Source organism: Homo sapiens, chromosome 20 (assembly GCF_000001405.40).
Source record: "Homo sapiens chromosome 20, GRCh38.p14 Primary Assembly".
Classification (NCBI taxonomy): Eukaryota; Metazoa; Chordata; class Mammalia; order Primates; family Hominidae; genus Homo; species Homo sapiens.
This window is the reverse complement of record NC_000020.11, coordinates 45,469,235-45,494,849: the sequence shown is the minus strand read 5'-3', so window position 1 is coordinate 45,494,849 and position 25,615 is coordinate 45,469,235. Positions and strand designations below refer to the sequence as shown.

General features: G+C 46.4%; 1 protein-coding gene, 1 long non-coding RNA gene and 1 pseudogene across 2 annotated transcripts in view, besides 2 other annotated features; 1 reads left to right on the top strand and 2 right to left on the bottom strand.

Moving 5' to 3' along the window:
• The window catches only part of LOC107987282 (uncharacterized), a 52,776-nt gene extending 45,538 nt beyond the window's left edge, over positions 1 to 7,238 (bottom strand). Inside the window, exon 1 of the long non-coding RNA XR_001754641.3 lies at positions 7,140 to 7,238. This is a non-coding gene — a long non-coding RNA (uncharacterized LOC107987282). The remainder of the gene's footprint in view (positions 1 to 7,139) is intronic.
• Positions 3,179 to 4,032, top strand: RPL5P2 (ribosomal protein L5 pseudogene 2; annotated as a pseudogene).
• A 6,079-nt stretch (positions 7,239 to 13,317) lies between the features above and the next one.
• WFDC2 (WAP four-disulfide core domain 2) lies at positions 13,318 to 25,097 on the bottom strand. The gene is made up of 4 exons (NM_006103.4): positions 24,990 to 25,097; positions 24,318 to 24,461; positions 14,756 to 14,908; positions 13,318 to 13,479 (listed from the first exon to the last, which is right to left on the bottom strand). The coding sequence occupies exons 1-3, from the start codon at positions 25,066 to 25,068 to the stop codon at positions 14,757 to 14,759; spliced, it is 375 nt and encodes a 124-aa protein (NP_006094.3). The 5' UTR covers positions 25,069 to 25,097; the 3' UTR covers positions 13,318 to 13,479; position 14,756.
• Positions 24,173 to 24,222: a silencer, noted in NCBI's record as "silent region_12959". NCBI's record gives its function as "represses an Ori minimal core promoter by ATAC-STARR-seq in GM12878 lymphoblastoid cells {active_cell/tissue: GM12878}" and the evidence as "EXISTENCE:reporter gene assay evidence [ECO:0000049][PMID:35858748]".
• Positions 24,243 to 24,432: a silencer, noted in NCBI's record as "silent region_12958". NCBI's record gives its function as "represses an Ori minimal core promoter by ATAC-STARR-seq in GM12878 lymphoblastoid cells {active_cell/tissue: GM12878}" and the evidence as "EXISTENCE:reporter gene assay evidence [ECO:0000049][PMID:35858748]".
• Positions 25,098 to 25,615: the final 518 nt, after the last annotated feature.

The following is a 25,615-nucleotide window of genomic DNA, read 5'->3' as shown; positions in this document are numbered from 1 at the left end:
GAAAAAGTGAGTAGAATAAGGGGAACTGGGGATGCAGAGGTTGCAGTTTTAATGAGGATGGTCATAGTGGGCCTTTTTGAGAAGGTTACACTTAAGCAAAGTCTTGAATGAGGTGAGTGAAGATTAACCATACAGACATCTAGGGAGAGTGCTACAGTAAAATAAAGAAAGAAAGGGCCTGTTATTCATGGGATTCACCAGTTTTATCCTGTTCTCCATCACCCAGAAGCAGCCAGACTTGTGGAATGGTGGGATGTCCTGCAGGTGTGACATTAACAACTTGGAAATAAAACTTCGAGTGGGTAAGGTTCTATCTCGCAGGATACTGTACATGCTCTCAATCAGCAACCAGCATATGGTGCTTTTTTTCCCACAGCCAGAATAAATGGATCAGAGCAACCAAAGCATATCTTGTTATTAAACATAATAACTGTGGTAGATTGAGTTACTGGCTCCAATTCATCACCCTCCCTATATCCACAATCAAAGAGTCTGCAGTTTCTTCCACTAGAGGCAGAGTATATTTCTCTGCCCCTTAACTTCGGGGTTGGTATGTGACTTATTTTGGCTAATGATGCTAACAGACATGATGAAAGCACAGACTTGGAATCTGTGCTTATCCTTCTACCAATCCTACGAGAATGTGTTTTTGTTTTGTTTTGAGACCAAGTTTTGCTTTTTTTTTTTTTTTTTTTTTTTTTTGAGACAGAGTCTTGCTCTGTCACCCAGGCTAGAGTGCAGTGGCGTGATCTCGGCTCACTGCAACCTCTACCTCCTGGGTTCAAGTAATTCTCCTGCCTCAGCCTCCCGAGTAGCTGGGATTACAGGTGCCCACCACCGCGCCCGGCTAATTTTTGTGTTTTTAGTACAGATGGGGTTTCACCATCTTGGCCAGGCTGGTCTCGAACTTCTGACCTCGTGACCCACCTGCCTCGGCCTCCCAAAGTGCTGAGATTATAGGCGTGAGCTACTGCGCCCAGCCTGAGACCGAGTTTCACTCTTGTCACCCAGGCTGGAGTGCAATGGCTTGATCTCCACTCACTGCAATTTCCGCCTCCTGGGTTCAAGTGATTCTCCTCCCTCAGCCTCCTGAGTAACTGGGATTACAGGCGTCCGCCACCATTCTTGGCTAATTTTTTTCATATTTTTAGTAAAGACAGGGTTTCACCATGTTGGCCAGGCTGGTCTGGAACTCCTGACCTCAGGTGACCCAGGGAATACATTTTATGGAACCTGCTGGTTCAAGAAGAACCAGCTGAGCCCAGCCTAGATCAGCTGAACCCCAGCAGACCCACAGATATGGGAGTGAGAGCGAATGATTGTTGCCTTAAGTCACTGAATTTTGAGTTGGCTTGTAATTCAGCATTACTATGATTATGTTAAATGTTGTGTCTCAGGGCTCTGCGGTGTTTTAGAAACCAAGGAAGGAATACTTCCAATAAGGGAAACAATAAAGGTTTGTTTAAGGAAGCCAAGATTTCTACCTGACAGTGTGGGGGGCCTCATACCACTGGATGAAGAGTTTTTTGTTGTTTGTTTTTTGAGACGGAGTCTCGCTCTGTCCCCCAGGCTGGAGTGCAGTGGCGCCATCTTGGCTCACTGCAACCTCTGCCTCCCGGGTTCAAGCAATTCTCCTGCCTCAGCCTCCCAGGTAGCTGGGATTACAGGCACGCACCACCACACCCAGCTAATTTTTTTGTATTTTAGTAGAGACGGGGTTTCACCATGTTGGCCAGGCTGGTCTCGAGCTCCTGACCTCGTGATCTGCCAGCCTTGGCCTCCCAAAGTGCTGGGATTACAGGTGTGAGCCCCCATGCCCAGCCTGAAGCATTTTTTTAAGCCAGCTTTTGCCTGCCCTGTTGCAGTGACCTACCTGCCCTCCCTGGTTCTGCATCTCCCCTGTAGTATTCACAACACAGCAGCCAGAAGGATCCTTTTCCAACTGAAGTCATATGTCACTCTTCTGCTCAAACTCCTCCAGTGGCTCCCAAATTTGCTCCAAATAAAAGGCAAAATCCTTGCAATGAGCCACAAGGCCCTTATTCTCTGTGCCCATGCTACCTCTCTGACTTCAACTCACCTCAGGCTCCTGACCACTCATTCACCCCAGCCATGCCAGCCTCCTGGATGATCCCCAACACCCTGAGAACACTCTGACCTCAGGTCCTTTGTTCTGGAACTCTCTTCTCTCTAAATTCCTCTTCTCATGGGTTGTCACGCAGCTCATGTCCTCCTTCACTGAGTTCACTACTTGAATAATACTTTAAGACCTTCCCTGACTACTTTGCAAAGTAATCACCCCCATCTCTACCCCACCCCCAGACTCACTATTCCTCTTACCTGTGTATTTCTCCATAACTTTTCCTCCACCTAACATGTTATATATGTGTTAGTTCATTTATTTATTGGCTATCCTCTCCACCGCACACACACACACACACACACACACACACACACTCTTTTCCTTCTATCAAATCCCCACCACCTAGAATAGAACACATAGTAAGTGCTTTATAAATATTGAATGAGTGAATGCCTCTGCTGATGTTGTTTCTGGGGCAGGACCTTCCCCTCCCTGACTGGTCTGTCTTTAGAACTTTATTTTCTAAGCTCCAGCTCACTCATGTAACTTCTTACTATCGCTCCAACCCCAAACCTGCACTTTCCTGCAGAGAAGATGTCTGTTTCCATGTAGGTATTACCATACATGGCTTCCTGGGCTGGGGATGGCCTTTAGAGGCATCTGCAAAGCAGTTTGCCATCGGAAATGGGAGAAAATAAGTGCGGGAAGAAGCCCTGCCCTGACGTCTGGAGGGGCAGCTGGGCTGAGTGGTTCTGTGAGGGGCCTTGAGGTTGGCTGTCCCATCTCGATCCACCTGTTTACTGGGATTCCTGGGCCCTGGGAGCTGTTCTCCTGGCCAAAACTAAGCTTTGCTGTGGTCTGCCTATATCAAGTGTGGCCCATCAAGGCCTGGAAGAGGGGGAAGAGACCAGTCTGGGACCCTGTCCTTTTTCCTTCCCCCTTTCCAATCACAAATCTTCAGAGTCCCCAACCTACAGCATTCACTTGGCTGCAAAAGTTGATCAAAGAATGATCGTAGGGCTTCCGCCTTGCCTGGCCCCCCTTGCACGCTGCAGGTCTGTGTCAAGCCATGGACACAGCTCTCTGTTCCGGAGGATGGAGTGTGTTAAAATTGTTAAGAGTAAGGCCTACTTTAAGAGATACAGATGACATTTAGAAGACCAGTGGGTTAAACTGATTACTATGCTCAGACACACTTGGTAATCCAGGATGAAAATAAGTAGAACACACCAAAATTCAGGATAGTTCATGCAACTAACAGAGAGATCATTTGTCATATGGTTTTTGCCCACACAGAAGGGAATATGATTGTCTGCACAGCATATGTTCATGAATGTCTAAAGTGTAGCATGAAGGTTGGCCAGCCAGATTATGATGCAGCACATTGTACTGGCCTGTGCTGACCCGAAGGCCCCTCAATAGTCTTGGCATGGACAACACCTATGAAGGTCAAGTGGAGGTGAGCAGAGATGGGTATCACATGGGAAGCATTGATGGTTACTTGGTGCCTTCACTTGCTACTTGCCAGAACTACCAACGGAAATAAAGGTAGGGGGGCCCTGAAGGGAGGTGTGGATTGAGGTTTTCTATCCCTCACAGTTACCAAACAATTCCCTGGTTCCAATTCAGAAAGCAGGGAGTTCAATGCAGAAGCACATCCTGGGTCAGAAGATCGCAGATTATATGCATTACCCAATGTAAGAAGATGAAGATGTTTACAAGAAACAATTTTCTCAATACATAAAGAACAACATAACTCCAGTCATGACGGAGAGACATGTAAGAAAGCTCATGATGCTGAACAAGAGAATCCAGTTCACGAGAGGAAGCCTGGGGAAGAAGTTAAGAAAAGGTGGAACCATCCCAAGACGTCCCCTGTCCAGAAGAAAGACTGAGTAGCTCAGAAGGCAAGTTTTCTAAGAGCTCAGGAGCAGGCTGCTGAGCGCTAAGCCAAACAACTATTTTCTTGTCTTTTCTTTTTCCTTTTTCTTTTTTTTTTTCAGAGACAGAGTCTCGCTCTGTCACCCAAGTCAGAGTGCAGTGGCACAATCATAGCTCACTGTAGCCTCCAACTCCTGGGCTCAAGCAATCCTCCCCCACTTGGCCTTCCAAGTACTTAGGAATATAGGCACGTTCCACCACGTCTGGCAAATAGTCATTTTCTATAAGATTATTCAGATAAAAACAATAAACTTATTGACCAAGCAGCTTAAAAAAGAAAATTAAAGGAAGGGTCTCAGCCAGAGGTTCTGCCTCGTCTAACCCACCCCTGCTTTCTTACCTGCCCCATCCCACCTCTCAGTCCTCCTTCCCTGGTAGCTTCTTCCTGTGCATTACTGAGATCCCTGGCAACTTCCACCTCATCTTCTGCAGGAGGCCTCTGGGCTAGGGACCCCTTGAAAAAGCTTTACCCCCTCTTAAGCTTCTGGTGGAGGGCCTGAGGTCCCATCTCCTTTGGACCCCTGCTCAGGGTCCCCTGTGCAGTCTTCTTACTCAGTAAAACCTCAACTGCCAGGTCTGACTTTTCACCATTAGCATTTTATTTCTTGAGTTAAATCAGGGGTAGCAAATCTATCTATCAACCCCAATCAATGGGCAGCTGTAGCAGCTGCCTGGAGCCCTGTGCTGAGGGCTCTGTGGCCACACATGGGCTAATGGAAAGGAGCAGCAATCATGTGATATGGGTGCTGGTGGAAGAAATGATGGCATGTGGACACCTTTGCCATCCCTGGGTTAGACATCACCCTGCCTGGGCCACTCTTTCAGAATGCAAACCTGTAGAAGGACAGGAGAAAGTGGAGCTAGTGGTAGTCACACACCGAGTTCCCAGCAACTCTTCCCAACCCATCACTGGATGCCTCTGTTTCTGCCTAAAAGGTTGGGGAGCCCCGAGCATGGACAAAAATAGAAATCAGAAAGTGGGGAGCTGGGAAAATCTACACTGCCATCTCTGGCCAAGGGGCTATCATATGCACAAAGCATCCCCACTCCCACCAGGAGGCTCTATCAGTTTGTGCCCCTGGGAGTGAATGGAGATGCCCTGGGGCCTTGTCTGGTCCCTGGTCCCTGGTCCCACAAGAAGATGAGGAAGATAAAGCCTGATAGACACCAAGCCAGGCTGGCCAGATATTCCAGACAATGTCACTGAAACTTTCCAGATCTCTCATGTTCCACGGTGGGTAGAGAAGGGAAGGACATGAAGGCTGTTCCTGGGGGGCCAGAGTCACTGACATTACTCCCTTATTCTCCTTCTCCCTCACCCCAAAGGATAAGCATACACCCCAGGATTAAAGTAAGAAATCATTGTGTCAGAGGCCTTCCAACCAGAGTGACTCCATCTTGAATAGGGGCTGGATAAAATAAGGGTGAGACCTGCTTGGCTACATTCCCAGAGGGTTAGGCATTCTTAGTCACAGGATGAGATAGGAGGTTGGCACAAGATACAGGTCACAGACCCTGCTAATAAATCAGGATGTGGTAAAGAACCCAGCCGAAACCCACTGAAACCAAGATGGCAATGAAAGTGACCTCTGGTCATCCTCAATGCTTATTCTATGCTAATCATAATGCATTAGCATGCTAAAAGACACTCCTATCAGTGCCATGACAATTTACAAACACCATGGCAACACTCAGAAGTTATCCTATATAGACTAAAAAGGGGAGGGATCCTCAGTTCTGGGAAATCTCTTCCCCTCTCCATGAAAACTCATGAATAATCCACCCGTTTTAGCATATAATCAAGAAATAACCATAAAAATCTTGAACCAGCAACCCTTGGGGCTGCTCTGCCCATGGAGTAGCCACTCTTTTTCCCTTTCCTTTACTTTCTTAATAAACTTGCTTTCTCACTTTACTCTACGGACTTGCTTTGATTTCTTTCTTGTGTGAGATCTGAGAACCCTCTCTTGGGGTCTGGATCCGGACTCCTTTCTGGTAACATCTTCCTGGCCACCATGAAGCGACTATACTGAAGAGACTTCTGACCCAAAGAAAAAGACTGCAGCACCAATTGGCCAACTCTGGATATGTGGTGGGGTACGTTTTACCTGGGTAAAGGATGGGATTGGGTTAGAAGCCCAACTTAGGAGAGTTAGAGTCCCTCCTAAGACAAAGAGGCTTAAAGGCCCCTGTTAATAAAAAGCAACGACGCTTGACCAAACCTGGGTTAAAGGCTTAACTTAGAAAAATTAGAGTCCCTTCTAAGCCATAGGGGGTGGCTGGGCGCGGTGGCTCATGCCTGTAATCCCAGCACTTTGGGAGGCCGAGGCGGGTGGATCACCTGAGGTCAGGAGTTCGAGACCAGCCTGGCCAACATGGTAACCCCACCTCTACTAAAAATACAAAATTAGCCGGGTGTGGTGGTATGTGCCTGTAATCCCAGCTACTCGGGAGGCTGAGGCAGGAGAATTGCTTGAACCTGGGAGGCAGAGGTTGTAGTGAGCCGAGATCGCACCACTGCACTCCAGCCTGGGCGACAGAGTGAAACTCCATCACAAACAAACAAACAAACAAACAAACAAAAATCCTGGCCGGCGCGGTGGCTCACGCCTATAATCCCAGCACATTGGGAGGCCAAGGCGGTGCGTCAGGAGATCAAGACCATCCTGGCTAACACCGTGAAACCCCGTCTCTACTAAAAATACAAAAAATTAGCCGGGCGTGGTGGTGGGCACCTGTAGTCCCAGTTACTCTGGAGGCTGAGGCAGGAGAATGACGTGAACCCGGGAGGCGGAGGTTGCAGTGAGCCGAGACTGCGCCACTGCACTCCAGCCTGGGCGACAGAGCGAGACTCTGTCTCAAAAAAAAAAAAAAGTATTTACCTTACATACAGGTAATGCGTGTATAAACACATACGCAAATAACACCTCTGAGGCCCGCAGGTCACTGCCACCTCTAACGGCCCCATTGGACTGTGAATTCCAGTGGGCCCAGCCATTCTCCCTCAGCCATGACTGGATCCGCAGGTCCCAACACAAGCCTCTCATCCAGCAGGCGCTCAACAAACACTCAAGTAACCCATCAGGCCCAGTTTTTGGAGAAGCCTGGGACTCACCTTGAGGGAAAGGATGTCCTCTGCGCGGATGACGAACTCGTCCTGCTCACGGAAAATGCCCTCTCCGCCACTCTCGTCAGCCTTCTAGTCCGTCTCTCCACACACGGCCGCCGTCTCCTGCTTCTTGGCCAGGTGCAGAGGCCAGGTGTCCGGCAGCTCAGCGTCCTCGGGGGATGGGGGGCGGGCTCCCCTGGAGGGGCAGCCGGTGGGGCAGCGGCTGGCGGGGGTGGCAGTGGAGGCGAAGGCATAGCTGGTGGAGGTGGCAGCGGTGGTGGCGGTGGTGAGCTGGACGTGGGGGCCACCAGCGGGGGTGGTGAGGGCAGGGCTGGCTGTGGCGGCGGAGCGGGTGGGAGAGGCTGAGGAGTCGGGGCTGGAGGTGGAGTGGGTGGAGATTTCTTCTCCAGCAGAGGGGGCTCTTTCTGTATTTTGTAAATTTTTCTTTCTGTATTTTTCTGTCATAAAAAGGGGTACCTTAGGATGAAGCACAACTCCAGCCTGGGCAACACAGCAAAAAACTCCATCTCAAAAAGAAGAAAGAGAGAAAGAGAAAAAAAGAAAGAAAAGAGAAAGACAGTGGTTAGAAAGAAAAGAGAAAGACAGTGGGTCAGAGGTCCCCCTCAGTAACATCCCTCTTGGTTAGAAATGGATTTGGCACTATGAAATGTTAACTGCTATTCTCTGGATTAATCTGCCTTGCACTGTTTGCTGATGGCTACAGGTGACTGGATTAGGCATGTACAGGATCTTGGAACATGGGGAACTTTTTTCTCCCCAGAGGGGGCAACTTGAGAGCTGATGGGACTGCTGGAAAAGATCCCTTTGTGACTGACAAGTACCTGCCTGAACTTTTGATTCAGTGTTGCTGCAATGGGTGGGTATTCCTCTGGTCTCCCTGAGCTCCCCGCTTCCCCACCCTGCCTCAGACCAGGCTTCTCTCTCTTACTCTCTCTTTCTCTCCTTTTCTTTTCCTATCGTTTCTGTTACTTGAGACTACCTGCTCTTCCATCTTGCCCAGAGACCACATGTTGAAATTCCGGGTCGGAGGTCACTCCACCCCACTTTGAATGGATTAAAGATGACAAGGCCCAACCGGGGGCAAGTTTGAGCCTTGCCAGTTAGATATTGGGTGCTAAGCAGAGCGGCTAATGTCTATGTTTTGTCACACGTATTTTGCTCTGGCTGGAATGGAAAATGTTCATTTGGTTACCCCATGCAACCCACTGGGCAGCATCTTACAAAATTGAGATTTTTTTTTTTTTAATTTTGTGTTGCAGCTTGGCCTCCAGGGCTATGATGCAGCAAGTAGATTCGCTAGGGCCACTCAGGGAAAGGGAACCCAGAAACCTGGCATGCCAGCAAAAGGGTAAGAATTTCTTACCAGTCAGACTTCTGGCCTCTCTCTGTGCGCGCCGACTGTAGGAATGGTAAAAATCACTGCCTCCTCTGCAAAGTTTCAATTAATGAAACAAAAGCCTTCATGTGGCTAGTATTAAGCTGTAGCAAATCTGGTGTAATTTGTGCTATGAATTTGTCTTTCTGTATTTTTCTGTCATAAAGAGAGGTACCTTAGGATAGAATATGGGCTTAGGACCCGGTAAGCTTGCTGTTCAAGCCAGTCCGGCACACTGGTCAGTTACAAACTTTGCGGCAGGTCCCTGAAACAAACAAAAAACTGACTGAAGTTTTCCCCTTGTCTTATGCCCTTGGAAGCTTGACCTTGTAACCATATGGTGGTATACCTTCTTAGTCTCCAGCATCCAGAGGACAGGAATTTTGAGGTTCACGTCATAGCCCTAAAAATTGTCTTGAGCAGTTAAAAGCCTTTGCAAGCTCAAAATTGGCTGCCTCTAGGGTCCTTCTAAGAAAAGAAATGGAAACTGCCCAATGCTGAAGCTTAGTAGCTAAGGTTTTGTCTTTTCACAATGGCAGCCCACATTCAGGGTTCAATTCCCAGCTCAGGGAATTAGTCCTTTCTAGTTTGATATCTACGTGAGCTTTGCCATTTGTTGATTCTCTGCCCCTCCTTGAACAACATCTGGCTTTCCTTTTTGAATTTTCCCTTCTCTAAGCTGCCTTTGTAGATTCTAAATCTTGTAAAAACTGCTTACCACCTGTTTGAAAATACTTCGTACACCTGTGGTTAAGTCACAACCTTAGTTAAGGCTTATTGGTTTCACCTGGGAGATTACCTTTGGTAAAGTTTAAAGGCCATAAATATTGGCTGTTTGTCCCGGCTAGAGTCTGGTAATAAGAGATTTTGTTAAAAGTTAGCTTAATTAAAAGCAGATATCCAAGCTATACGTATATTTAAAAGGTCTTTATGTTTTTTTCTCTTCTTGGATCTTATGAAGAAAAAAGTATTTTTTTTTACCAGGGGAAAACAAGACAAGGGGAAAAAAAAGGTATTTTTTTTTTCACAGTCAACTGAATTGTTTCTCTGTTTTGCCTTCTTGCCACTCTTGATGCACATGTGAGAGGACCTAAGATAATTTCTAATAGCCTTGGACTCCTTGAGAAAAACAGAGGAGGTGCCACAGACCCCGTTTTAGGGAAAACATCTGTTTTCCTCATTAAGACCCAGGGATTGGAAGCAGATAGATCTCTCTCAAAAGCTAAGGCTCTGTTCTGTTTTGCATTGCGTTATTTGACATTTTTTACTTTTTAGAGTATCAGAAATTACTTCACATTATGAGTGAGCTTTGGTGTGTAATAACTAGGTAGCAAATATACTTTTGGGCATGGCCAGTGGCAGTTATGGCGGGATACTTGGCTCTCTGCACGTTTGGATCAGAGAGGCGTGCTCTCAGCCACCTGGAAGGTATGGAAACATCCCCATCCCCCACCCCACCACTGAGATAAGGCTTCCGTGGGGGATAGGCTGATCACAGAATGGGCTGATTGACTCTGGGTTGTCTTGCAATGAAACTCACAGTAAGATCATTCATTGTCTTGTTCTGTAGTATTTCTTTTTTGGGAATTGAGGATCCGGTATAAAAATAGGACCCTGAATTTTGGGGGATCTGTTTTGCTTTCCATCTGTATCTGCTTATTAAGCCCTAGAAACGGCATGTTTTCCTAACCCTGTTCCTCAAAGGACCCCACCCTGAAGCCAGTAATCCAATTAAGAAACTTAAAAACTGCCAAATGAAAAATCGTAACAACTACTGGATCTTCTGCTGTCTGTATATTTATATGTGTTGTGTGTGTGACATTTATATATGAAGGAGCTCTGATTAATTGGCTTAAAAATAAGCGCTTAAATATTTTGTCAGGAAAATAAAAACTAATGCCTTTTAGTTCACGTGACTTTAGTAAGCTTTGGAAGGACAGTTTAAAAAATTATTGGTAAAATAAAGACATTTGGTCTAAATTAGGTCAGATAATTAGGTTTGCTAAACGCTTTAAGATCATGAACTGCTTCTTTGACTTTTGAAAAGTCAAAGAAGAGCTATTCTTTGAGCTATTAGATTCTAGGTAAGGCCTGTGGACATGCGGAGTTAGGGATGCCCCCTCACTATGATGGAAGGATAACTTATCTGCATTTTTGTCTCGTATCTTAGGCTCCACACCTGCTACAAAATTAAAAATCACTCACTTATCAGGTTTTTCAGCAACAACAAAAGTTTCTAAGAGTTAACAGTGTAACATGCAATGGAGACTACTACAGAAACGTTTTACATGCAAGGTGTGTCAGGAAAGTGAAATGTGTTTTTGGTAAAAGATTATAAGAAGGCATGGAAATGTGGGAGTTTTTTGGCTACACTAGTTTAGAGGGTTAAAGGTTTTAACTAAGATAGCATAAAGCTGAAGGTTTGAGCAAGTTGTGATAGGTTTGTGAAAGATTAATCTGGTAAAAGAAATTTTATATGTGAACATATTGGCTAAAGCTAAAGTGACATTATTCAGTTTTTCTGTAAATTGAACATTGGAATAAAAGCACAAAAGGATTTCCTTGGAGCACTGATCTGCTCTTTAACAAAAATTGTAAAGGGTCATAAGATTTATAAGAATCTTACCTTAGGGTCAAACATTAAAATTGAAGAGATTTGTCTAAGGTTCTACTAAGAATTGGGTTTGATATTAATAGTACACTAATGCAAAGGTGAAATTTGGCTTTCTCTTGAACAAGATTTTCCATGAATAAAGTTTTTTGCCTTTTTAAAATTTTTGAGTTATTTTGGCTAGATGACTTATGGTGGCCTATGATTCTCTTCTATAATATCAAGTGTTTTAAACCTTTGATAGTAACAAACTTTCCAAAACCAAATTATAAATTATGTCTTTTTCTGACCTAATTAATCTTATAGCTATTAGGTCCCCTAAAGTCCAAAAATGACATATTTGGCTTATTTGGTATAAAAATCATACAGGAAGCATTGTCAAATATGAAATGGTGTTTGGCTTTCTTTGGGCTGTATTTGTATAAATATGTTATTAGTATATGTTCCAAAATTACTGGAAAGTCCTGTAATTCTGATATGGCTTAGTGTATGTAATTAATAATTATAATTGTTGTGTAAAATTGTATGCCACAGAAGTAACCAAAATTGTCAAATGTGGCTTTAGTAGTGGCTGTCCTAAGACTTTTTGTCACCCACAATTATTGTCTTGTTTTGATTCTCTTCAAAAGGTGGTTTATAATCAGCTATAGGACTTTGACAGGTGCTCTTGAATGCAGGTTTCTGATACCTTTGGAGATTGTGACATTAGAATCGAGGAAAAAACTTTCAGGACTCTCATGGAGAGCTGAAATGTTTATGAATATCAAGCAGAACAGGTGTTAACTGCATAGACTGAACTAATAGAAGACTAAAATAACCCTTCTATGACTTTTTACTTAAAACATTGCTGATCTTTGTTTTTCAGAGCCAAGAAAACTTTTATTTGTAACTTTAAAAAATAAAAATAAGATGCAGTCTCTCTCTGTTGCCCAGGCTGGAGTGCAGTCGTGTGACCTGAGCTCATTCCACCTCCACCTTCCGGGTTCAAGCAGTTCTCCTGCCTCAGCCTCCCAAGTAGCTGGGATTACAGGTGCATGCCACCATGCCTGGCTAATTTTTGTATTTTTAGTAGAAATGGGGTTTGGCCATGTTGGCCAGGCTGGTCTCAAACTCCTGATCTCAGGTGAGCCACCCGCCTCGGCCTCCCAAAGTGCTGGGATTACAGGCGTGAGCCACTGCACCCGGCCCAGTGATCATTTTAGAGAGACAGTTTAACCACTACCTGACCATCACCTGATCGTCACCTGACATTCCTGGGCGTGTGAGGGGGGAGCCCTCTCCTGTCCTGCTCATGTCTAACTACCTACTCTAACAGATGGAAAGAGATGATAGAGATAGGGAGTGGGGAGAGAAGTAGAAGGGGACACTATGGAGAGAGAGGAAAGTACATAGAGAGAGGGGCATTAAGAGAGGGAGTATGGAGAGGGGGAGGATGGAGAGGAAGGAATAGAGGAGAGAGAAAGAGAATAGAGTGAGGCATAGAGGGGGAATAGAAAGGAAAAGAGGAAGAAATAGAGAAGGGAGAGAGAAAGGATTGAGAGCTGGGGATACATATCTGAAAAGAAACCCAAGAAACTGAGAACATTTTTTGTCTTTATAGAAAACAACTTGGTGGCTGGGGTGGAAGGTGGAGACAGGGGATAAAGGGTGAAAGACACTTTTCATTGTATATCTTTTTTTAATCTTTTGAGTTTGGATGCATATGACTATATTACTTATATAAAATAAAACTTTGACTTAAAGTATCAACAAGAGAGGATCCTGGATTGCCATCTTTCTGTGTGGCCACTGGCAAGTAACCTCATGGAGTCCAGGTCTATGACAGGGGTATGTTGTTAACTGCTCTGGGGATTGTTTTGAGGACCCAGAGGATCTCATAAGCAAACCTCCCAGCACCGTGTCTGGCACCTGGTGCATGCTGCTGCTTATCAGCACCCCCAGCAATGAATCTGAGTGACTTTGGAAGCACCCCACCACCTGTCTGAGCCTCGTTTTTCTCATCCATCCTCCTGGAGGAATAATGACCAGATTCATAGGGTTGATGCAGGGATCCACCAGGAGAATGCTAACACCTACCAGATGATCCTTCTCTGGACTTCATGCCTGGATGATCTGGTCACACCCTTAACACTTGCCCACCCACCTCAACCCAAGTCAGGGGAGACAGAGACAGAACGTGCTGAAAGTGGTTACTTTATTGGTTGGGAAAGGGAGAAGCTGTGGTCAGCCCAAGAGGGAATACAGAGTCCCGAAAAAGGGGAGGGCAGGTGGGCTGGAACCAGATGCAGGGCCAGGCAGAAACTTTCTCTCCTCACTGCTCAGCCTGGTGGTGGCTGGAGCTGGAGGAAGAAAATTATAACAATACCATCAACAACAATATCCATTAGACTAGGCAGGAGTACCTGCAGCTTAAATCCTAGACCAGCTCCTTGACCCCACCCCATCCCACACACCCACACAGCAAAGCCTCACCTTCTGGGGGCTCTGCTTGCATTTTCTACAGGTTCTAGACATACTCTTCTCCTTCAGACCATCCCTAGCAGGTACCTGGGTATACTGTGGTCAGACCATCCCTAGCAGGCACCTGGGTATACTGTGGTCCCAGATGTCCACTGTGGCCTTCCTGAGGGGTCATGGCCATTTCTCTCCCCAAGAATCCTTCTACTATTAGGAAGTTCTGCCATGCCTTCTTCTTTAGGTTAAAATGGGATTATCTGATCAATTAGATCTTATTTAGCTACATTTTATAAGCGAGATAACTGTGACTCAGGGAGGTGAGAAGGTTAGGTAAGTGTCAGAGCTAACATTTGAACCAAGGTCTTCTTGACTGCAAAGCCTATCCATGCAGTTGGCATCTGAGAGCCCTGGCTCCAGGGAGACCATAGCTTAGTTTAGAGAAACCATAGTTCCCTCTCGGGCACCAAGAGCACACCCCCTCTCTAGATTTCAATTGCTCATCTCTGCACTATTGGATTCTATCAGTTATCTTCAGGTTACTTTGCTGAGAAATTGTTAAAAGTAGCACATGACAACCACGAGATTTCAACCCAAGGGTACCACCAAGCTGTTTTTTGTTTGTTTGTTTTTAATTTGAGATGGAGTTTCGCTCTTGTTGCCCAGGCTGGAGTGCAATGGCGTGATCTCAGCTCACCACAACCTCTGTCTCCCAGGTTCAAGCAATTCTCCTGCCTCAGCCTCCTGAGTAGCGGGTGGGTGGCACCCGCCACCACACCCATTAAATTTTTTTTTTTTTTTTTGGTATTTTTAGTAGAGACGGGGTTTCTCCATGTTGGTCAGGCTGGTCTTGAACTCCCGACCTCAGGTGATCCGCACACCTCAGCCTCCCAAAGTGCTGGGATTATAGGCATGAGCCACCACACCCAGCCAAGCTCTTGCTTATTCTGTTCCCTCTGCCTGAGACAGCCTCCCCAATGCAGCTCATCAGACTACCCACCTTTCACTCTTCTTTTAGAACAGGCTGAGGGTCACCCCACTGGTATACCTTTCCCAACTGTCCCTGCAACTAACCTCCCTTCACCTCCGCCTGGGTGACGTTTTCTCCTGTTTCCCACAACACCTGGCCATCAATGCACTTTCTCTTTCCCGTTCACTTACCTCAGAAATTGGGAGTGACACAGGACACCTTCCCACAGCCATTGCGGCAGCATTTCATCTGGCCAGGACACTGGCTGTCCACCTGGCACTGGTCCCGACAGAGGCCGAGCTGGGGAAAGTTAATGTTCACCTGGGGGCAGGAACCCTCCTTATCTGGGTAGAAAAAGGAGTAAGGGTAAGTGGGCAGAGGCGATACAGGGAGATTAACTTGTACCTGCAGCATGGCCCCCCCACTGCCCCTCACTGGGCTTCACATACAGCAGAGCTGCCTGCCTGAGTCCATCTTGGGCACCTGAGCTGCTCTCAGGAGGCCCAGGAAGATCACCTGCAAATCCCTCCTCCTGCTCCCAAATGGAATCACAGGACCTCAGCTTGAGTCCCAAGTGGGCCTTCGTGGCCTAGGGCCAGAAATCTCCCAGAGCCTCCGTGTCTTTAGGTGCCAGTGGAACAGTGCTAATTACAACATAGGGTTGTTGTGAAAGCAGTGGGAAACAAACATATATTATTTCTCCCTGAAATATCAAACTACTCTGTAGTTATGAGAAATTATAACAGTGAACACTTAATTAGCTCTTATTACATGCCAGGTATCAAGCCCCTAACATATATTAACTCTTCTAATTCTCACAATAATCCTAAAAGAAGGGGAGGGATCTGTTAATATTTCCTTGTGTTACAAGTGAGGAAACTGAGGCACTGAGAAGTTAAGTAATTTGCCTAAGGTCACACAGAATTGAGGCAGAATTTGAACCCCAAGAAATCTAGCTGCAGAGTCTATGTGTTAACTGCTGCTGCCATGGTTAAGCACTATGCTGCCACTTAAAGTGTAAAGTACAGTACACATGTGAGGGGTTACACACTTATAATCTTCACTCATACCCACAGACCGAATCCCAGTTGCAGTCTCTCAGCACCATGACCCTCCAAATACACTCATTCATCCATGCAGAGAGAAACCACACGTCCTTCCACTAACAAACACACACACAATCACACTCCACTTCCCAGGTTAGATAGAGGGGAGCCAGGCCCAGCCAAATCCATTCATCAACTGAGGTACATCATGGTTGCTTCCAACTTTTGGCAATTATAAATAAAGCTGCTATAAATATGTGCAGGTTTTTGTGTGTAAAACACAGGCACAGAACTGGGTGATTAGCTGTAGAGGACAAGGAAAGTGGCTGACAGATCACCGGGTGCAGTGGCTCATGCCTGTAATCCCACACTTTGGGAGGCTCAGGCGGGTGGGATCATCGGAGGTCAGGACTCGAGACCCCCCGCTCTACTAAAAATACAAAAAAGTTAACTGGGCGTGGTGGCATGCACCGGTAATCCCAGCTACTTGGGAGGCTGAGGCAGGAGAATCGCTTGCACCTGGGAGACAGAGGTTGTAGTGAGCTGAGATCATGCCACTGCACTCCAGCCTGGGCGACAGAGCGAGACTCCATCTCAAAAAAAAAAAAGATTTAGGTTCAGCTTTCAAGATGGCCGAATAGTAACAGCTCCAGTCTGCAGCTCCCAGTGAATCAATGCAGAAGGCAGGTGATTTCTGCATTTTCAAATGAGGTACGTGGCTCATCTCATTGGGACTGGTTAGACAGTGGGTGCAGCCCACGGAGGGCGAGCAGAAGTAGGGTAGGGCATCATCTCACCTGGGAAGCACAAGAGGTCAGGGAACTCCCTCCCCTAGCCAAGGGAAGCCATGAGGGACTGTGCCGTGAGGAATAGTGCACTCTGGAGCAGATACTACACTTTTCCCACGGTCTTCACAACCCACAGACCAAGAGATTCCTTTGGGTGCCTACACCACCAGGGCCCTGGGTTTCAAGCACAAAACTAGGTGGCCATTTGGGCAGACACTGAGCTAGCTGCAGGATTTTTTTTTCATACCCCAGTGGTGCCTGGAATGCCAGTGAGACAGAACCATTCACGCCCCTGGAAAGGGGGCTGAAGCTAGGGAGACAAGTGGTCTAGCTCAGCGGATCCCACCCCCATGGAGCCCAGCAAGCTAACATCCACTGGCTTGAAATTCTCACTGCCAGCACAGCAGTCTGAAGTTGACCTGGAACTCTCAAGCTTGGTAGGGGGAGGGGCGTCCACCATTACTGAGGCTTGAGTAGGCAGTTTTCCCCTCACAGAGTAAACAAAGCCACCAGGAAGTTCAAACTGGGCAGAGCCCAACACAGCTCGGCAAAGCCGCTGTAGCCAGACTGCCTCTCTAGATTCCTCCTCTCTGGGCAGGGCATCTCTGAAAAAAAGGCAGCAGCCCTAGTCAGGGGCTTATAGGTAAAACTCCCATCTCCCTGGGACAGAGCACCTGGGGGAAGGGGCAGCTGTGGATGTGGCTTCAGCCTGCCTGCCGGTTCTGAAGAGAGCAGCAGATCTCCCAGCACAGCATTTGAGCTCTGCTAAGGGTCAGACTGCCTCCTCAAGTGAGTCCCTGATTTCCGTGTCTCCTGACTGGGAGACACCTTCCAGCAGGGGCTGACAGACACCTCATACAGGAGAGCTCTGGCTGGCATCTGGCGGGTGCCCCTCTGGGACAAAGCTTCTAGAGGAAGGAACAGGCAGCAATCTTTGCTGTTCTGCAGCCTCTGCTGGTGATAGCCAGGCAAACAGGGTCTGGAGTGGACCTCCAGCAAACGCCAACAGACCTGCAGCTGAGGGGCCTGATTGTTAGAAGGAAAACTAACAGAAAGGAATAGCATCAACATCAACAAAAAGGACGTCCACTCAGAAGGCCCATCCAAAGATCATCAACATCAAAGACCAAAGGTAGATAAATCCACGAAGATGGGGAGAAACCAGCACAAAAAGGCTGAAAATTCCAAAAACCAGAACACCTCTTCTCCAAAGGATCACAATTCCTCGCCAGCAAGGGAACAAAACTGGACGGAGAATGAGTTTGACAAATTGACAGAAGTAGGCTTCAGAAGGTGGGTAATAACAAACTCCTCCAAGCTAAAGGAGCATGTTCTAACCCCAATGCAAGAAAGGTAAGAACCTTGAAAAAAGGTTATAGGAATTGCTAACTAGATTAACCAGTTTAGAGAAGAACATAAATGACCTGATGGAGCTGAAAAACACAGCACGAGAACGTCATGAAGCCTATACAAGTATCAATAGCCGAATTGATCAAGCAGAAGAAGGATATCAGAGATTGAAGATCAATTTAATGAAATAAAGAATGAAGATGAGATTAGAGAAAAAATAATGAAAAGGAATGAATGAACAAAGCCTCCAAAAAATATGGGACTATGTGAAAAGACCAAACCTATGTTTGATTGATGTACCTGAAAGTGATGGGGAGAATGGAACCAAGTTGGAAAACACTGTTCAGGATATTATACAGGAGAACTTCCCCAACCTAGCAAGAAAGGCCAACATTCAAATTCAGGAAATACAGAGAACACCTCAAAGATACTCCTTGAGAAGAATAACCCCAAGACACATAATCATCAGATTCACCAAGGTTGAAATGAAGAAAAAAATGTTAAGGGCACCCAGAGAGAAAGGTTGGGTTACCCACTATGGGAGGCCCTTCAGACTAACTGCAGATCTCTCTGCAGAAACCCTGCAAACCAGAAGACAGTGGGGGCCAATATTCAATATTCTTAAAGAATTTTCAACCCAGAATTTCATATCCAGCCAAAGTAAGCTTCATACATGAAGGAGAAATAAAATCCTTTATAGACAAACAAATGCTGAGGGATTTTTCTCATCAACAGGCCTGCCTTACAAGGTCTCCTGAAAGGAGCACTAAACATAGAAAGGAACAACTGGAATCAGCAACTGCAAAAACATACCAAATTGTAAAGACCATCGACACTATGAAGAAACTGCATCAACTAATAGACAAAATAACCAGCTAGCATCATAATGACAGGATCAAACTCACACATAACAATATTAACCTTAAATGTAAACAGGCTAAATGCCCCAGTTAAAAGACAAAGACTGGCAAATTGGATAAAGAGTCAAGACCCATTGGTGTGCTGTATTCAGGAGACCCATCTCAAGTGCAAAGACACATAGGCTCAAAATAAAGGGATAGAGGAATATTTACCAAGCAAATGGAAAGCAAAAAAAAATCAGGGGTTGCAATTCTATTCTCTGATAAAACAGACTTTAAACCAACAAAGATCAAAAGAGACAAAGAAGGGCATTACACAATGGTAAAGGGATCAATGCAACAAGAAGAGCTAATTATGCTAAATATATATGCACCTAATACAGGAGCACCCTGATTCATAAAGCAAGTTCTTAGAGACCTACAAAGAGACTTAGACTCCGACATAATAATAGTGGGAAACTTTAACCCCCACTGTCAATATTAGACAGATCAATGAGACGGAAAATTAACAAAGATATCCAAGACTTGAACTCAGCTCTGGACCAAGCAGACCTAATAGACATCTACAGAACTCTCCACCCCAAATCAACAGAATATACATTCTCCTCAGCACCACATCACACTTATTCTAAAACTGACCACATAATTGGAAGTAAAACACTAATTAGCAAATGCAAAAGAACGGAAATCCTAACAGTCTCTCAGACCACAGTGCCATCAAATTAGAATTCAGGATTAAGAAACTCACTCAAGACCGCATAACCTTACATGGAAACTGAACAACCTGCTCCTGAATGACTACTAGGTAAATAACAAAATCAAGGCAGAAATAAATAAGTTCTTTGAAACCAATGAGAACAAAGACATAACATACCAGAATCTCTGAGACACAGCTAAAGCAGTGCTTAGAAGGAAATTTATAGCACTAAATGCCCACAAGGGAAAGCAGGAAAGATCCAAAATTGACACCCTAACATCACAATTAAAAGAACTAGAAAAGCAAGAACAAACAAATTCAAAAGCTAGCAGAAGACAAGAAATAACTAAGATCAGAGAGAACTAAAGGAGATAGAGACATGAAAAACCCTTCAAAAAAAATCAATGAATTCACAAGCTGGGTTTTTGAAAAACATCAACAAAATAGTCTGACTGCTAGCCATACTAATAAAGAAAAGAGAGAAGAATCAAATAGACACAATAAAAAATGACAAAGGGGATATCACCACTGATCCCACAGAAATACAATCTACCATCAGAGAATACTATAAACACCTCTACGCAAATAAACTAGAAAACCTAGAAGAAATGGATAAATTCCTGGACACATACACCCTCCCAAGTCTAAACCAGGAAGAAGTCGAATCCCTGAATCGACCAATAACAAGTTCCAAAATTGAGGCAGTAATTAATAGCCTACCAACCAAAAAAAGTCTGGGACCAGACAGATTCACAGCCGAATTCCACCAGAGGTACAAAGAGGAGTTGCTGGTACCATTCCTTCTGAAACTATTCCAAACAATAGAAAAAGAGAGCCTCCTCCCTAATTCATTTTATGAGGCCAGCATCATCCTGATACTAAAACCTGGCAGAGACACAATAACAAAAAAATTTCAGGTTAATATCCCTGATGAACATCAGTGCGAAAATCCTTAATAAAATGCTGGCAAACCAAATCCAGCAGCACATCAAAAAGCTTATCCACCATGATCAAGTTGGCTTTGTCCCTGGGATGCAAGGCTGGTTCAACATACACAAATCAATAAACGTAATCCATCACATAAGCAAAATCAATGACAAAAACCACATGATTATCTCAATAGATGCAGAAAAGGCCTTTGATAAAATTCAACACCCTTCATGCTAAAACACTCAATAAACTAGGTATTGATGGAAGGTATCTCAAAGTAACAAGAGCTATTTATGACAAACCCACAGCCAATATCATACTGAATGGGCAAAAGCTGGAAGCATTCCCTTTGAAAACCGGCACAAGACAAGCATGCTCTCTCTCACCACCCCTATTCAACATAGCATTAGAAATTCTGGCCAGGGCAATCAGTCAAGAGAAAGAAATAAAGGGTATTCAATTAGGAAAAGAGGAAGTCAAATTGTCCCTGTTTGCAGATGAAATGATTGTATATTTAGAAAACCCCATTATCTCAGCCCAAAATCTCCTTAAGCTGATAAGAAACTGCAGTAAAGTCTCAGGATACAAATCAATGTACAAAAATCACAAGTATTCCTATACACCAATAATAGACAGAGAGCCAAATCATGAGTGAATTCCCATTCACAATTGCTACAAAGAGAATAAAATACCTAGGAATACAACTTACAAGGGAGGTGAAGGACCTCTTCAAGGAGAACTACAAACCACTGCTCAACGAAATAAGAGAGGATACAAACAAATGGAAAAACAATCCATGCTCATGGATAAGAAGAATCAATATCGTGAAAATGGCTATACTGCCCAAAGTAATTTATAGATTCAATGCTATCCCCATCAAGCTATCACTGACTTTCTTCACAGAATTAGAAAAAACGACTTTAAATTTCATATGGAACCAAATAAAAGCCCACATAGCCAAGACAATCCTAAGCAAAAAGAACAAAGCTGGAAGCATCACGCTAACTGACTTCAAGCTATACTACAAGGCTACAGTAACCAAAACAGCATGGTACTGGTACCAAAACAGATATATAGACCAACAGAACAGAACAGAGGCCTCAGAAATAACACTACACATCTACAGCCACCTGATCTTTGACAAACATGGCAAAAACAAGCAATGGGGAAAGGATTCCCTATTTAATAAATGGTGTTGGGAAAACTGGCTAGCCATATGCAGAAAACTGAAACTGGACCCCTTTCCTTACACCTTATGCAAAAATTAACTCAAGATGGATTAAAGACTTAAATGTAAGACCTAAAACCATAAAAACCCTAGAAGAAAACCTAGGCAATACCATTCAGGACATAGGCATGGGCAAAGACTTCATGACTAAAACACCAAAAGCAATGGCAACAAAAGCCAAAATTGACAAATGGGATCCAATTAAACTACAGAGCTTCTGCACAGCAAAAGAAACTATCATCAGAGTGAACAGGCAGCCTACAGAATGGGAGAAAATTTTTGCACTCTATCCATCTGACAAAGGGCTAATATACAGAATCTACAAGAACTCAAACAAATTTACGAGAAAAAAACCCCATTAGAACGTGGGCGAAGGATATGAACAGATGCTTCTCAAAAGAAGACATTTATGCAGCCAACAAACATGAAAAATGCTCATCATCACTGGTCATTAGAGAAATGCAAATCAAAACCACAATGAGATAACATCTCACACCAGTTAGAATGGAGATCCTTAAAAAGTCAGGAAACAACAGATGCTGGAGAGGATGTGGAGAAATAGGAATGCTTTTACACTGTTCGTGGGAGTGTAAATTAGTTCAACCATTGTGGAAGAGAGTGTGGCCATTCCTCAAGGATCTAGAACAAGAAATACCATTTGACCCAGCAATCCCATTACTGGGTATATACCCAAAGGATTATAAATCATTCTACAATAAAGACACATGCACACATAGGTTTATTGCAGCACTGTTCACAATAGCAAAGACTTGGAACCAACGCAAATGCCCAAGACACATGCACACATAGGTTTATTGCAGCACTGTTCACAATAGCAAAGACTTGGAACCAACCCAAATGCCCATCAGTGATGGACTGGATAAAGGAAATGTGGCACGTCTACACCATGGAATACTATGCAGCCATAACAAATGATGAGTTCATGTCCTTTGCAGAGACATGGATGAAGCTGGAAACCATCATTCTCAGCAAACTAACACAAGAACAGAAAACCAAATACCGCATGTTCTCACTCATAAGTAGGAGTTGAACAATGAGAACACATGGACACAGGGAGGGGAACATCACACACCAGGGCCTGTCGGGGGGTTGGGAATTAGGGGAGGCATAGCATTAGGAGAAACACCTAATGTAGATGACGGGTTGATGGGTGAAGCAAACCACCATGGCACATGTATACCTATGTAACAAACCTGCACGTTCTGCACGTGTACCCCAGAACTTAAAGCATAAATACAAAAAAAAATGTTGTTAAGTTGCCAACAGTCTTGACTTCCTAATACAAAGAAATTCATTCTCTTGAAAGGAGTAGGAACCTGTAATATTGGGCTGCCCTGGAAATAAATAGGGAACCATTTATGATCAAAACAAGCCACTGTGTATGGAGTATCTTCTCACTAATAGACACTTTAGATGCATTATTTCATTTAGTCCTCATGCCAATCCTATAGAGTTTGGAATTATTCCCATCTTAGAGCAGAGGCTCAGAGAGGTAAACAACATGCTCAGGATCACATAACTAGAAAATGGCAGAACTAGGATTCAAACCTCCAGGCTGCCTCCCTGGCTCAGGAGGCCATCTGACCTTGTCCCTCTTCCTGCCTCAGTCTGTCCATCTGAGATAAGGGAACAAATTCTTCATCCATCAAACAGCAAAGACTCCCTCCTTTGCTCCTCCACCTCTCTCATCTGGCTGCTGCCTGCTTTCTCTCCAAATCTTCCTCTCTCCTTCTGGTCCTCCTCTCCCTGGCCCAGAGGAGGGGACTCATGACCTTGAAGCTGCCCTTGGTGGGCTGCCAGTCCCCCTCCACTTACCACCTCCCTGCTGATCGGTGTCTTGGGTCACCGTATTACAAACCTTCCCAGCCTGTGCTGGCATCTTCAAGGAAATAACAGAGAGGAAAAGTCACAGGGGCTGTATTCTGGATAAAGAACATCATTACAGTACCTTGGTTCTCTCCAGGTCCTATCCCTGCCTCTAATCCTCAGCATTTTCCTCTGGAGAACGGAAAGCTGAGATTCCATGCTGTTTAAGCCACCCCCTGTTCTGATAGCCTGGTGGAGACTGCAGCTCCAGCAAGCACCTTTGAGAGAGTCCCCAGCTCGCGCTCACTCAATCCTTAGAGTGGAAGAGATTGACTGAAAGACGACGAAGGGCGATACAGTGTCCAGGGAGGATTCCTCACTTTCTTCGAATCACTCAGCCAGTTGGCCTGAAAGGCAAAAGCTGAACCCTCACTATGACTCCAGCAGCCATGGGATGGCGGTGTGACCTTGGGCAAGAACATTTTTTTCTCACCGATGCTCCCTTACACATCTTTAAGATGAGCGGGGCATTTTCCTAAATCTGTAAAGTTCCTTTCCGCCTGGACAGAGGAATTGGGGAAAATCTTGCCAGGCCAGGCTCTCCCAGTCTTTCCCCAGGGCTGGGGGAGGCCCCCAGGGAGGGACTCCAAGAGGAGAGGTGAGCGCCCCAGGCTCCGGGCTTTCCCGCAGGGCAGGCTTCGGCCGGTTCGAGAAGGAAACTGCGGCCCCGGGTCCCCAGGCCGCGGGGAACAATGTCCCGGCTGTGCGTGCCCGGAAGCCCGTCATGCACCAGAGACTCGAATCCCAGCTAGGGGTGGGGACCCCCCCTTGGCTGCGTTTCAACGACGCCTTTGTCTACCCCTGGGCCGTGCGAGGGAGAGGACTGACGGATCTGGTTTCAACCGCCTTGACTTTCCCGGGGGTCCCCGGGTCCGGGGGCGCCCCTGTTCCCGGAACCCGGGCCCTCCCACCTCCTCCCAGCCCAGCGCGGCCCCGCCCCGTTCCCGCTCGGCCGCCGTGGGGTTACCATTGGGCAGAGAGCAGAAGGTGGCACAGCCCGCGCTGCAGCACTTGAGGTTGTCGGCGCATTCGCTGTCCGAGACGCACTCTTGCGTGCAGTTCTGGTCAGCCTGGAGCTCGGGGCACACGCCAGTCTTCTCTGCTCCTGTGCCTGGGAGGGGAGGCCCGGGACAGTCGAGGGTGGGGCGTAGCGCCAGCCCCAGAGGATGCCCACCTCCTGCTCCAAACCTTAACCCCAAGGAATTCTCAGTCTCTGGCCCTAGGAGTCCCCTTACAGCCCCCAGAGACTCCTTCTTCCAGACCAGGAGTCCCTGACCCCTGGGAGTACGAGAGCTCCCTAACCCTTGGCGTCGGGGCCCTCAGATCTCAGCCCTAGGGGACGCCGCACAGCTGAGCGTCTCGGAGCTTCCGAGGTCGAGGCAGAGCAGCCCCCACCCCCAGCCCACTGCAGCCACGGAGTGTCCGCGTTCAGCACAGAATCCTCCCAAATTGCAGCCATCAGTGGTCTCTCCACCTCCAGCACATTGGACCCCACACCCTAGGCTCCAAGGGTCCCCGCCACTTCCGCCCCCGGAATTCCCACTTCCCCAGCCTCCAGAGGCTACGCCTCCGCCTGGCTCCATCCTGGCGCTCGTGGCTCGGCCCCTCTAGGCGCCGGGCCTCTCCCCGCCCCACTCACCTGAGACTAGGGTGAAGCCGAACAGCAGCAGGCTGAGGAGGAGGGCGGCGGCTAGCGGGCCTAGGCGACAAGCAGGCATGGTGCTATGCCCGGGCGGGGTGCAGGTGTGAGCCGATGCTCAGGTGCGGGGATTTAACCGCGCGCGCGGGAGGGGGCGTGGGGTAGGGGTGGAGCCGAGCGGGGAAGGGGAGGGTGGAGGGCTTTGCGGGCACCGCGGGCGGGCTGCCACATGAGGTCATTTCACAATCCCCCAGGATCAGGTATCACTCTTGGCCCCGGTGGGAACCAGGAACTTAAGCAGCTTCCAGGACGGGACCAGCTACGGCCGGACCCTTGTCCACGCCTCCCTCCTGACCTCCCTCCTGGGGCCTGAGGGCCAAGGCTCAGGGCTCCTGGGTTTCTATTCCAAGACTCCGAGGTTTCTCCAGAGTGTCCCCAGTGGGCGGTTGAGGAGGATAAGGCAGGGCCCGCAGGGAGGCAGTAGAGCATGCGGGTTAAAGGGTTCGATTTGGGGTCAGCCAGATGAGAGGGCAGATCCCTCTTGATGGAGGGCTAGGGTAGTGATACAGAGCACATAGTAGGGGCTACAGAAATAGCACTTATTATTAATAAACAAACCCTCCTCA

Coding starts and splice junctions, on each gene's coding strand:
- WFDC2 (NM_006103.4), bottom strand. CDS start 25,068: ATGCCTGCTTGTCGCCTAGGCCCGCTAGCCGCCGCCCTCCTCCTCAGC. Junction 24,462..24,989: donor CGGCTTCACCCTAGTCTCAG/GTGAGTGGGGCG, acceptor CTCCCCTCCCAG/GCACAGGAGCAGAGAAGACT. Junction 14,909..24,317: donor CTTCTGCTCTCTGCCCAATG/GTAACCCCACGG, acceptor TTTTCTACCCAG/ATAAGGAGGGTTCCTGCCCC.